This window comes from Homo sapiens, chromosome 3 (assembly GCF_000001405.40).
Source record: "Homo sapiens chromosome 3, GRCh38.p14 Primary Assembly".
NCBI classification, from domain to species: domain Eukaryota; kingdom Metazoa; phylum Chordata; class Mammalia; order Primates; family Hominidae; genus Homo; species Homo sapiens.
The window spans coordinates 71,870,465-71,883,018 of record NC_000003.12 but is presented as its reverse complement, the minus strand read 5'-3'; the positions used below and the strand labels follow the sequence as shown (position 1 = coordinate 71,883,018).

General features: G+C 43.1%; 3 annotated features.

The window, feature by feature from the left end:
- Positions 4,786-5,717: an enhancer, noted in NCBI's record as "NANOG-H3K27ac-H3K4me1 hESC enhancer chr3:71926453-71927384 (GRCh37/hg19 assembly coordinates)". NCBI's record gives its function as "activates a minimal SCP1, AML or CMV promoter by ChIP-STARR-seq in naive H9 embryonic stem cells {active_cell/tissue: H9 hESC(naive)}" and the evidence as "EXISTENCE:reporter gene assay evidence [ECO:0000049][PMID:30033119]".
- Positions 6,648-7,579: an enhancer, noted in NCBI's record as "OCT4-NANOG-H3K27ac-H3K4me1 hESC enhancer chr3:71924591-71925522 (GRCh37/hg19 assembly coordinates)". NCBI's record gives its function as "activates a minimal SCP1, AML or CMV promoter by ChIP-STARR-seq in naive and primed H9 embryonic stem cells {active_cell/tissue: H9 hESC(naive and primed)}" and the evidence as "EXISTENCE:reporter gene assay evidence [ECO:0000049][PMID:30033119]".
- Positions 9,525-10,061: an enhancer, noted in NCBI's record as "NANOG hESC enhancer chr3:71922109-71922645 (GRCh37/hg19 assembly coordinates)". NCBI's record gives its function as "activates a minimal SCP1, AML or CMV promoter by ChIP-STARR-seq in primed H9 embryonic stem cells {active_cell/tissue: H9 hESC(primed)}" and the evidence as "EXISTENCE:reporter gene assay evidence [ECO:0000049][PMID:30033119]".

Below are 12,554 nucleotides of genomic sequence, written 5' to 3'. Positions count from 1 at the left end.
TGGATCAGCTTGATCCTTTGAGGTTTGTTTTTAATGTTTGTTAGGGAGGGGCTAATATATCTTTAACTCCAAGACAATAGTAACCTTCTCCTAACACATGGCCTTTCTTGAGGGTCAACTGAGTACCCAGAATTTTCAAAGCAGCCTATTCATTTACACTTACAACAATACACTTCTGTTCCATATGAGATTGTATACGCCATATACACTTAAGCCAATATCTCTTGGAAGGCTGAGTCAGGCAGATTGCTTGAGCCCACGAGTTTGAGACCAGCCTAAAAATATGGCAAAACCCTGTCTCTTCAAAAAGTACAAAAATTTGCTGGGTGTAGTGGCGCGTATCTGTAGTCCCAGCTACTCGGTAGGCTGAGGTGGGATGATCACTTGAGCCCAGGAGGTCAAGGCTGCAGTGAGCTGAGATCACACTACTGCATTCTAGCCTGGGCAAAAGAGTGAGACCCTGTCAAAATAAAAAAACAAAAACAACAGCAACAAAAAAACTCAGTTCCATACAAGCTCCAAATCTCAATTCAGCTCATAGCTTTGTTCTTTTCCTAGCCACCTGGATTCGTGTGCTGCATACTTGTCACTTGGTACCCAAAGAGTCTAGGATTCCTGAAGCTTCTTTTTTTTTTTTTTTTTCTGAGCAGATTTCAGAAGCTTCTTCTCTGTATGACTGCTACTTCTCTAGAACTCTGCCCTGTAAATTCCAGCCATGTTATCAGACCTAACTCCAGTCTCATCACATCTCTTCAGTAACACTGCCATTCTCTGTTTCAGTTTTCCTTCCATGTGCCATGATCTGGAAAAAGCTTTAAAAAAAGTAGATCAATCAACGTCTTCACTTTTTGCAAGTGAAGGCCAAGTTATAATGTAAGCAAGTCTCCAAGTTGTGGCCCATATATTACAGATATATTATTTAAACGTACTTATTAAATACAAGGCATAAAATGGCTTATAGAAAATGTTTTTGCAAGCTGGATGAAGTCCCAGGTCTTTGCCCTTTTAACCTCACCTTTCCTAAAAAGGTTCACATGCAGCAGGCATGACACTAGCCTCGAGGCAGCAGCAGGAGACCAGGAGACAAAGTCTCCAGTGTCATCCCTGAGAGTACCCACTGCAGGCCTCCCTGGACTTTCTACCCTCTTACAAGGGCAGAGGACTGGCCCCACAATGCTCTGGCCAAGCCATGTATCCTGACTACCACTAAATTGCCCAAGGAGAATCCACTTACAGCATCTAATATGTTAATTTAAAACCTCTAATTTTAACAGAACATATTTCTAATGTTCATTTTGTGAATGACCAAAGACTCTGGATTTCACGCAAGGATTAGCAATGCTTTTAGAATCAATGTTTCTGAAATCCTTTCTGATTAAAACCAAGCTGATTGCCCTGGTGTATAAATTTCTCATCTGGGTAGCAGTCTGCCCCTAGCATGCAGCTCGAGCTAACACATACAAAATACTACACTGTGTGGAGCTATTTAAACTTCCCGTACATCTCACCATACACAGAGCTGGCATGAGAAAAATCTAAAATCTGGATCAGGTGCTGATGTAATGAATGGGAACAAAATAAACTGGAAGCCTCCCCTCACAAGGATGGTCTGGCTCCCAAGGCTATTTCTCCCTTCATGAGCTGATTTTTCACGTGAGACACCTCAGCATGATCTCAGTTCTTCTCTGTCCTTTTCTCCACTGCTGCTGGGCTGACCAGCATGGAGGTCACAGGGCAGCATGCCAGGAGGGGTAGGGCCTCCATATTCCATGGGTCAGAGCATGTTACAAGGCCAGCCCCAGTCATTCAAGGAATGGGGAAATAAATTTAATGGTAAGAGCTACAAAGAGTTTATGCTAATATTTCATCCACCACACCCTGGATACAAATGTATAATTACCAACTAAAGAAAGTCACCCTGAAGACAAGGAGCAGGGTTCTACGGGAATGTCAGAGGAGTGGAAGAAATCTCAGGGCTCAGAGGAATCTAACTTGACCAAAAGCTCAGATCGCCCCTTAAAACCTATGTCTAAGATCTCAAGAATAAAGAGGGACAAGGAAAGGGTAGCGTTTAGGCAGCAGAATGACACATGCAAAGACACGTGGCAGGTGGTACATTTCACAAATGTGAAGAATGCAAAAAACTTTCATTGGCAAGGGGAGAAGTCTGTAAATCTCATGGAATTGTGACAGGGAGCTCCTTTCTCGGTAAGTGGGTGAAGTGAGCATTGAACGGAGCCTTCAGTTAACCAGGTGCGCATTGCAACATGGTAACTCAGCAATTGCACCCTCTCAGGAAAATGGCAGAAAGGGGCGATAGGATCAGCCAGTGCTGCATTTCAAACATTATCAAATGTTTTCTATTTTATTTTATTTTATTTTGTTTTATTTTGAGATGGAGTTTCACTCTTGTCACCCAGGCTAGAGTGCAGTGGTGCAATCTCAGCTCAGTGCAACCTCTGCCTCCCAGGTTCAAGCAATTCTCCTGCCTCAGTCTCCCAGGTGCCCACCACCATGCCTGGCTAATTTTTGTATTTTTAGTAGAGACGGGGTTTCGCCAAGTTGTCCAGGCTGGTCTCCAACTCCTGACTTCAGGTAATCTACCCACCTCGCCTCTCAAAGTGCTGGGATTACAGGCCTGAGCCTCCGCGTCAGCCTCAGACATCACCAAATGTTTTCTAAAAGCTGTCTATGAAGTAGTTCTCTGGTCCAAAAGGTTTGAAAATTACCTAGTTAACTGAGTGTATTGCTGAACTTGCTGGGGTCTTTAATAAGCTAATCACGGGCCAATAGTGTGCTGGTAAATGTTTAACAACCTTCTCTCTCAAATAAAATCGCCGTGATTTGTAGCATTTATCAGCTTCTGGAGTATAATACTCCTGCCATGACTGATTTCAAGCTACGGATGTGATGTCACTGAATGCACAGTGGACAAGAGATACGCAGTAGCACTCCATTCTGTAGTATTTCCATTCTACAGATACAATAAACATCATGTCCTCAAAAGCATAGATACTAGTGAAATGTAGTAACACAGGAAGTGAAAAGTTTTGAGTCTTTACTATATTTGTGTTTAATATGATTTGTCCGTTTATGTAACTTAATTTTTAATGATGGCTGTGTTTAAAAACCGGCTCACAAAATTTCTGAAACTGTAACAATCTTGTGAGCTGGCACAGGCTAGCTGTGCTGGACCTGGTAATGCCCACCCCTGTTGGAAATCTCTGAACAAGAGATGATGGAGCTTTTCCTCAGACTTCATGGCCACAGCATCCTCTTTATGGGACATCTAAAGGGCCATCCCTTATTTTTAGATATTTTGCAGAAACATTTTAGGAAATTCTGATTTGGTTATTTCATAGTTGTGGAAACTGAGATGCTAAGTAAGTGTCTTGCCCAAGAATCAGATCCAAATACAAACTAAGCTCTTCTGAGCCTTGGTACTATAACAAAAGGTTTCTCGTTCATTCTGTGCTCAACACTGTCCCAGATTCATAGCTACCATTTGCTCCCACATGCTATTGAAGGTACTCTGCTCATCAATTACAAGCATCATTGCATTTAATGTTTCCAATACCCTATATGTGTGGTATCCCCATTCTACCGATAAGAAAACTTCAGTGCGGAGAGGTTCAGGAATTCCACAGAATGAAGCAAAGACGCGGGTTGCTAAGAGATACCCTGCTCCCATTAAAATATCCCGGCGTCCCACTGCTCCATACTGTGGCTGGATGTGGTAGAACAAGAATAAGGCTTATCATCTTCCTTTCTCAGCAAGAAAAGGCCATATGTGTTCCCTTCCATGCTGTGATCCTTAAGCCAAAACATCTCCACGGGCCAGCTTTAAGCAGCCGTGTGTGCTATCCCGGGCCAGTCACCCCACCCACATCTACTGATGTATGAGATGCTGAGTTTAGGGAGCAGAAGCAGGGAAAATCCCCTCGTCCCACTTCCTAGGAATCCACTTGGCAGTGTTAGTAATAAGAGCTTTCTACTCTTTTCTTAAGGTTTTTACCTTTCACATCCATGATGCCATTTGACCCTTAAAAGACTCCATGAATTATTCCTGTTTCTCACCTTGTCCAAGGTCACACAGCTCCAAGGTCAGCAAGCTCTGAATCATCTGCCCCTGTGTCTTTCCCAATGCAGCAAGCTGCTTTATGCTAACAATAGTGCATAGATTAAGTATAGTTCCCTCTGAATCCAAATGTAAATGACGTTTGAGAGACCTTCAAGATTTCAGGAAATGTGACACACGTATATCTTCAAATGCAAGTTTGAACAGGAGGAATAACGTTCACTAATAGCTCACATTTGTAGGAACTGAGACTTAAGGCCAACCCAGTAATTATGCAAGTAACCCATATATAGTGCTTCCTAGGTGTTAGGCATTGCGGTGAGGGTTTTATGTGCATTAACTCATTCAGTCCTCACAATCACAACCCTAGGACATGGCTATGATGGTTGTTATGATTTCATTTTACATATCGGGAAATATGGAGAGGAAAAGCACAGTCCTGACTCAAGGCATCTCTAACTCTGATGGTTTGAGGGGTGTGTGTATAGAAGGTAAAGGAGAGAAGAAGTGATTCCAAATGACGGTGTCTCGTGTTCTGTGTCCTAGTTTTCCTCGGCATCAGCACCGCAGCACCTCCAAGCTGCACATGTGCACTGGCAGCCTGGTTTCTGCTGCAGCCCCCTCTATTCATCATTCATTCAACTTAAGGCATTGAAAAATTCTATTAAAGTGCAAATCTTACCCTGGAGGGAAAATTCACAAGAACCGTAACCTGTAAAGTAAGTATTGTTATCCCATTTTACAGATGAGAAAAGTGAGCTCGGGGATGTTACGAGACTTACCTAAGCGATAAACTAGTAAATACTGAGAAGGGAGAGTCCAGATACAGCATTACAACTCTGAGAGTTCTGGCAAGCTAGAAAATACTAGAAAAGCACTGAATATTGAGTTTATGTCTGAATGTGAGGCAGGAGAGCGGGGAGCGAGTTATTGTAAGAGGACGTTGGAAGAATCTTGAGCAGAGAGGGGTGGGAAGAGACTTGGTGCTGGCTGCCCTTACCCTCCTGCTTCTAGTCCATATGCTGTGTCACCAGTGTCCTGGCAGAACCAACAGGCATTCCACTCACTTCTAGCAGGCTCTGAAGCTCCCCAGAGGACCCCCTTGCCTCACTGGAGTCCCCAGGGCCCATCTGGGGTCGGTCTCTGTCAGGAAGCCAGAGCAAATTTCTTACCCTTCCTCCCAGTTTTCCTGGTCTAGGCCTGTTTCTCTTTCCTGTGTCATTTGTCACCTTCCCCAGGAAGGTTATCTGAGGATGCAGAGAGGTAGAAAGTTGTCAGCTGTGATGCCTGCAGGCCAGGTGGGGAGGAAACGCTCTCTCCAAACCCCTTCCCAGCAAGCCTGGGTCCTGGCTCCCCCTGTCAGAGGCGCGTGAACCAGAACAACTCCATCTTGAATAGGAGCTGGGTAAAATGAGGCCGAAACCTGCTGTGCTGCATTCCCAGACGGTTAAGGCATTCTAAGTCTCAGGATGAGATGGGAGGTCAGCATAAAATACAGGTCACAAAGACCTTGCTGATAAAACACTTTGCAGTAAAGAAACCGGCCCAAGCCCACCAAAACCAAGATGGTGATGAGGGTGACCTCTGGTCGTCCTCACTGTTACACTCCCACAAGCACCATGACAGTTTACAAATGCCATGGCGACATCAGGAAGTTTACCCTATGGGGTCTAAAAAGGGGAGGCACGAAGAATCCACCCCTTGTTTAGCATATCATCAAGAAATAACCATAAAAATGGGCAACCAACAGCCCTCAGGGCTGTTCTATCTATGGAGAAGTCATTCTTTTGTTCCTTTACTTTCCTAATAAACTTGCTTTCACTTTACTGACTCGCCCTGAATTCTTTCTTGGGCAAGATCCAAGAACCCTCTCTTGGGGTCTGGATTGTGAACCCTTTCCTACAGCACCCCCATCTCAGGGTACCATCCCTCCAGTCTCCTCCCTGGGGTGGCCCCTGGGCCAAGAGGCCAGGAAGAGAGCTCTCCTTTGATCACTCCCTTGTCAAAGCAAAAGGATTAAGATCCTACCACTTCCAGCTCAGCAATTCTCGGAAGATCACTCCATGCCCTCCTTTCCACCTGTATGACACGGGGATAATGACAATGTCTTCCTGGGCTGGGTACGAGGATGCAATTAGTTAATCCATGGAAAGTACTCTCAGCCCAGTGCCTGGCACCTATGCCCAATCAATTGTTCAGCATTGTTAGTGCTGTTATTATCTATAGTTGAGAAGTAATAATACCAGTTGCAGTTATCTCAGGCTACACTCCATATTTTTACCACTTCGCTTTTCTTCTCAGACACACACATAAACACACCCCACTTAATGGCAGAGGGTTGCAGCTTTACAAGCAGAACCAGCAAAGGGAACTCAGTTTAACTCTGGCCTGTGCCCAACTCAAAGGGTGGCCTTCAGCAAATAAACACTCCTCTTTGGGCTTCCATCAGGACGTGTAATTTATCTGGAAATAGCTCAAGTGAAGTGTCAGGGGTCACAACTTAAAGAGCTCAGGCCAAATCCAATTGTCAGAGAAGTTCTTGGGCCAACACTGTGCTCTGAAAATGGAGCAACAGGTTAGGGGCTGTGGTTCACGCCTGTAATCCCAACACTTTGGGAGGCAGAAGTGGGTGGATTGCTTGAGCCCACGAGTTCAGGATCAGCTTGGGCAACATGATGAACCCTCATCTCTATAAAAACAACAAAAAAGAAAAATACAAAAATTAGCCAGGCATGGTGGCATGTGCCTGTACTCTCAGCTACTCTGGAGGCTGAGGTGGGAGGATCACCTGAGCCTGGGAGGCGGAGGTTGCAGTGAGCCATGATCGTGCCACTGCACTCCAGCCTCGGCAACAGAGTAAGACCCTGTCTCAAGAAAAAAAAAATGGGGTGACATCACATCACAGTCCAGATATCTGGCTCCTCCCAGCATTTGGGGTGATCCGGTGGAGCCAGGAAGAGCTTTGCGAGGCATCTTTAGCCTTTCAGCCAATTCTCCTCTTTCCTCCTGCTCATGCAATCATTCCCTACCTGGCCCCTAGAGGCCTTTGACTTTGTGACCCTCTGAACCCACTAAATTCTCAGGTGGTTTCCGCTTTCAAATTCAGCAGTTGAAACCTCAGTTCTGACTTGCAGGGCTGGGAAGGATTTGTCTCCCTGCTGCAGGGGGTTAAGTGGCTGCTTTTGAAAGGACAAAGCTAGAGATGACTCGATAAGATAAGGAGCTCTGTTTTCAGGAGGAAAGAACAGGATTTTGTTGTGATCCAGAGGATAACAGTCTGAGCCTCTCATTCATCAGCCCATCCCTCCTCCCTCCCCTTAGCAGGCGCTCAGGGCCACCATGGGATGTGTCTGCAGCTGCTGCCATCTGCTGGGGCATAAAGTTGCTGCAGCCTGCCTGGGGATGGCATTTCTAGGGTTTGCACAGGTGTTTCCTGCCAAGCCCCGAATGATAGCTCTTGTCCCAGTAGAGGCAGTGGGCTCACCGCTACAGTTGCTGGTATTTATCAAGCACCTGCTATGAGCCAAATACTATTTTAGAAATTCCATGAGTTTTCCTACTAATCCATTTGCTAGAATAGAAGCCCACATGGGCAGGGAGTTTTGTCTCTTTTCTTCACAGCAGCAGCCCTTGTGCCTGGAACAGTGCCTGGCACAAGGAAGGAACTTGGTACAGGTGGGTTGCATGAGAACAAGTGTAAAGACAGATTGTGTCGTTATGTCCATTTTATGGATGAGGAAATTGTCACTCAGAGACACAAAGGCTCAAGGTACTATGGGTAAACCTGTGGGAGAAGCTGAAACATTCCTGGTGTGGGCAGAGCTTGTCTATCACTGCAGGTGATTTTGAAGATGGTCAAGACAGGCAACAGGTAGGAATGAACACCTCAGGTAGCCAGGGTCCTTTGAAGTTCAGAAAACCCAGGGTGCAAACCATCAGGAAACTAAGCCAAATCCACGAAATGTTGCAATGGGGCCCGGGGACCTGGCCAGGGCAAGAGGCCCTTCACATGTGTTTTGTGTGTGTTTTTTGAATTAGGAAACTTAATTTTTTTTTGAACAGTTTTAAATTTACAGAACAACTGAGTGGAAAGTACAGGGAGTTCCCATATATGCTCTCACGCCTACCCACACATATGCACACACAGCCATTTTCCCTATTACTAACATCTTGCATCAGCATGAAACATTTGCTACAATTGATGAGCCAATATTGATAACATGATTTTTAACTAAAGTTCATAGATTGCATTAGGGTTCATTAGGGTTCACTTGGTGATGAACATTCTGAGTTTTGAAAAATGCGTGATGTCATATATCCACCATTACAGAATCACACAAAATAGCTCCATTCCTTAAAAATCCCCTGTGCTCCACTTATTTTATTTTATTTTTTTCAGACAGGAGTTTTGCTCTTGTCACCCAGGCTGGAGTGCAATGGCATGATCTCGGCTCACTGCAAGCTCCGCCTCCCAGGTTCAAGCGATTCTCCTGCCTCAGCATCCCAAGTAGCTGGAATTACAGGTGCCTGCCACCACACCCGGCTAGTTTTTTGTATTTTTAGTAGAGATGGGTTTCTCCACGTTGGCCAGCTGGTCTCGAACTCCTGACCTCAGGTGATCTGCCCACCTCAGCCTCCTAAAGTGCTGGGATTACAGGTGTGAGCCACCGCGCCGAGCCCGTGCTCCACCTATTTATCCTTCCCTCTCCTCCAGCCCCTGGCCGCCGCTGATCTTTTTACTATTTCTATAGTTTTGCCTTTTCTAGAATGTTATATACTTAGAATCATACAGTATACAGCCTTTTCAGATTGGCTTCTTTAACGTAATAATATGCATTTAAGGTTTCTCCATATCTTTCCATGGCTTACTAGCTCATTTCTTTTTATCACTGAATAATATCCCATTGAATGGATGTGCCACAGTTTGTTTATCCATTCACCCATTAAAGGACATCTTGGTTGCTGCTGCTTTTTTTGGAGATGGAGTCTCACTCTTACTGAGACTGGAGTGAAGTGGCGTGATCTCAGCTCACTGCAACTTCCACCTCCCGGGTTCAAGTGATTTTCCTGCCTCAGCCCCCTGGGTAGCTGGGATTACAGATGCCTGCCACCACACCTGGCTAATTTTTGAATTTTTAGTAGAGACAAGGTTTCACCACCTTGGCCAGGCTAGTCTCAAACTCCTGATCTCAAATGATCTGCCAATCTCAACCTCCCAGTGTGTTGGGATTACAGGCGTGAGCCACTGCACCCGGCCACATTTGGTTGCTTCTAAGTTTGGCAATTATGAATAAAGTTTCAATAAACATCTGTGTGCATGTTTTTGTGTAGACATAAGTTTTCAACTCACTGCGTAAATACTTAAGAACCCAATTGCTGGATTGCATGGTAAGTTTTGTAAGAAACTGCCAGATGGTTTTCCAAAGTGGCTGTACTCTGTTGTGCTTCTGAACATAGCTCTTAGATCAGGCCTGCTGGCCAGGGTTTTCCCATTCTCGAAGTAGAGGTTAGGCCTGGGAGTCCTCTGGTCCCATCGGCAGTCTGCCCTTTTGCTGAGCCAAATCCACTTCCTCTGGTGAAAGGTGCAAGAAAAGCGCTTTTCTTTTCATCCTACAAAGAGGGACCTACTTTAGATGAGGTATAATGCTGTGGCAATCCCGGATGTTTGAAATTCCCAAGTCATCCCCTCAGGCTGGTGAAGGGGCCCACGGCTCTCAAGAGTCAACCTGTGCCTTTGGTTCAGAATACTTGACCTGAGTGTGCGCGTGTGGGTTGAAGAAAACAGCTACTGTTTTGATGTGCGGTACTTTTGGTTCCTGCCTAAAACCGTGATGAAACCAGTGCCTCTGGAATCAAAATATCCAGCTCTTGTTCCCTTTCCACTCTTTCTACAAGGTCAACAAGTTAGGTAACAGTTTAATTTGCATCATTCCAAAATTTAGAGTAATTAGAATATTAAAATTTAGGGTAATTAGGGAGATAATGGAACTATAAGCATGCCAGGAGTTTATTTTACTTTTCTTCTCTCTTTTTTTTTTTTTTTTAAAGGCTATGAAAAATCAGATATGACCCCTTTAACGTTACTTTAAAAACACAATTTTAAAGGTAGGCTAATATGAAACTGAAACTATAGGAAAGAAAGGGCTTTCTTAGTTATGCTTTTGACATTATTTTCCAGAATCCAAAATGCCATGTTTGCTTGCTTCTACACAATGGCATCTCCTCTCCCTGCCTCCCCCAAAAAACAAAAACCAACCAATCTAAAAAACTTTATATTCCACCAATAACTTGGAGCAAGTCATTTAATCATCAGCTTATTTTTAAAGGCTAATGTTCTTTGGTGATTGCCTAGGAAAACTCAGAGACTCTCACTTGAACTACTTCAATCTGTGAAGAGGAAAAAAATACTTTTGTTTTGCTGGTCGGAGGAGGGTTTATTTATGTGTCTCATTTTACAAGCCTAAGCACTGCAAATGTAAACTCTCTGAAGGAAGATTTTTGTTCTAATGACTTAACTGAAACCAGAAGCATCTCTCTTTGATTTACTGGAACAAGTCCAGTGTGGTCTTGATCTAGCATTATAGAACACGTGTCTCTACCTATGCAGCTGAGAAAACTTACCTTTTCTGTTCCAGCCAAGTAATTTCTCAAAGAATGAGGATGGGTGAAGTCTAGCAAAAAACAAACAAACAAACAAACAAAAGTTAAAAAATTCTCCAGATGATTCTTATAGAAACTGAAGTTTGGGAACCCCTGCTTAAGGCAATACTTACTTTTTCCCTTTTTAATTTTTTTTTTCCTTTTCAGCTTTCCCTACAAAACAACACATTATGTTTTTCCTGAATGTTTGAGCACTGAAAATATATAAATAACACATTCTGGATAAGTATTTTCTTCCTGTTATGTTTGACTGTCTCATTGAAAACATTTTAACTCTTTTTAAAAAAAATTCTTAAAACTTTACTTTTTAAATGAACATACAGTAAAATTGACTTTGTACGTGAGCACAGTTCTGTGAATTTTAACACGCATACACATTCAAGTAACCACTCCCACAATCAATACAAAACAATTCCATCACCCAGAAAATTCCCTCACGCCATCCTTTTGTTGTCAGAACCCCCCACCGCCCCAACCCTGCAACCCTGACCCTTAGCAAGCACTGCCATTACCCATCACCAAAGTGTCTCTTCCACAAGGTCACGTAAATGGAATCATACAATATATAACCTTTTGAGACTGGCTTCTTTCAGTCGACATAATGTATTTGAGAGTCATCCAAGCTGTTGCATGTATCCATAGTTCTTTTTAAAATTAATATTATTATTATTACTGAGCAGAATTCCATTGTGTGGACATAACGCTTTTTTCACCCGTTGTAGGGTATTTGGCTGCTTCCAGTTTTTGGCTGCTATAATCAGTATAAATAGAGCTGGGTTTGTGTTAAATCTATAGATGAATTTGGGGGAGGATTCCCAACTTTACATTGTTATCTTCCCATTTATGTGTGCAGTATGTCTTATAAATAGAGCTGCTATCATCATTCCTGTATAGGTTTGGGGGTGTAGATAAATTTTCATGTTGTAATACTTAGGTAATTCCTAGTAGTGGGATGCTGAGTCAGCTGGTAGACGTGCCTGGAACTTTACGAGAAACCGTCACAGTGTTTGCCATAGTATTTTCACGTTTTCAGCCGTTCTAATAGATGTGGAGGGTATCTCATCATGGTTTTTAAGTTGCCATTTCTTAATGGTTAATGATGTTGAACATCTTTTCCTGAGCTTATTTGCCATCCCTTTAGTGAAGTGCCTGTTCAAGTCTTTTGCTCATTTTAAAAATTGGACTGTTTGTTCTCTTAATGTTGAGTTTCGAGAGTTCTTAATATATTCTGAATACAAGTGTTTTGCTGGATATGTGATCAGTAAATATTTTCTCGGTCTGTAGTTTGTCTTTTCATTCTTTTACCAGTGTCTTTCCCAGAAAAAGTTTTTAATTCTGATGAAGTCCAGCTTACAATTTTTTTTTTCTGTTATGGGTCATGATTTTTCCCTATGTTTAATTCTAAACATTTTATAATTTTGTATTTTACATTTAAATGTATAACTTAATTTGAGTTAACTTTGGAATAAGGTATGAGATTTAGGTCAAGGTTCATTTTGTTGCATTTGGATGCCCAAATGCTTTAAACATCGCTTATTGAGAAGACTATCCTTTCCCTATTGAATTGCCTCTGCACACTGATCAAAAACTCAACTGGAAAACAGTAGTTGCCCATGGGGGGAGGCAACACAGGGGAACTTTCTGAAGTAATGGAAATGGGCATATACTTTACAGGGTGTGGCTTACATGGGTATATGCCCTAGTCAAAACGCATCAATTTACACACTTTAAGTCACGGCATTTTATTGTGTGTGAATTATACTTCAATTAAAATAACATCGGTTGGCCATCTTTGTGTAGGTCTATTTCTGGAAGT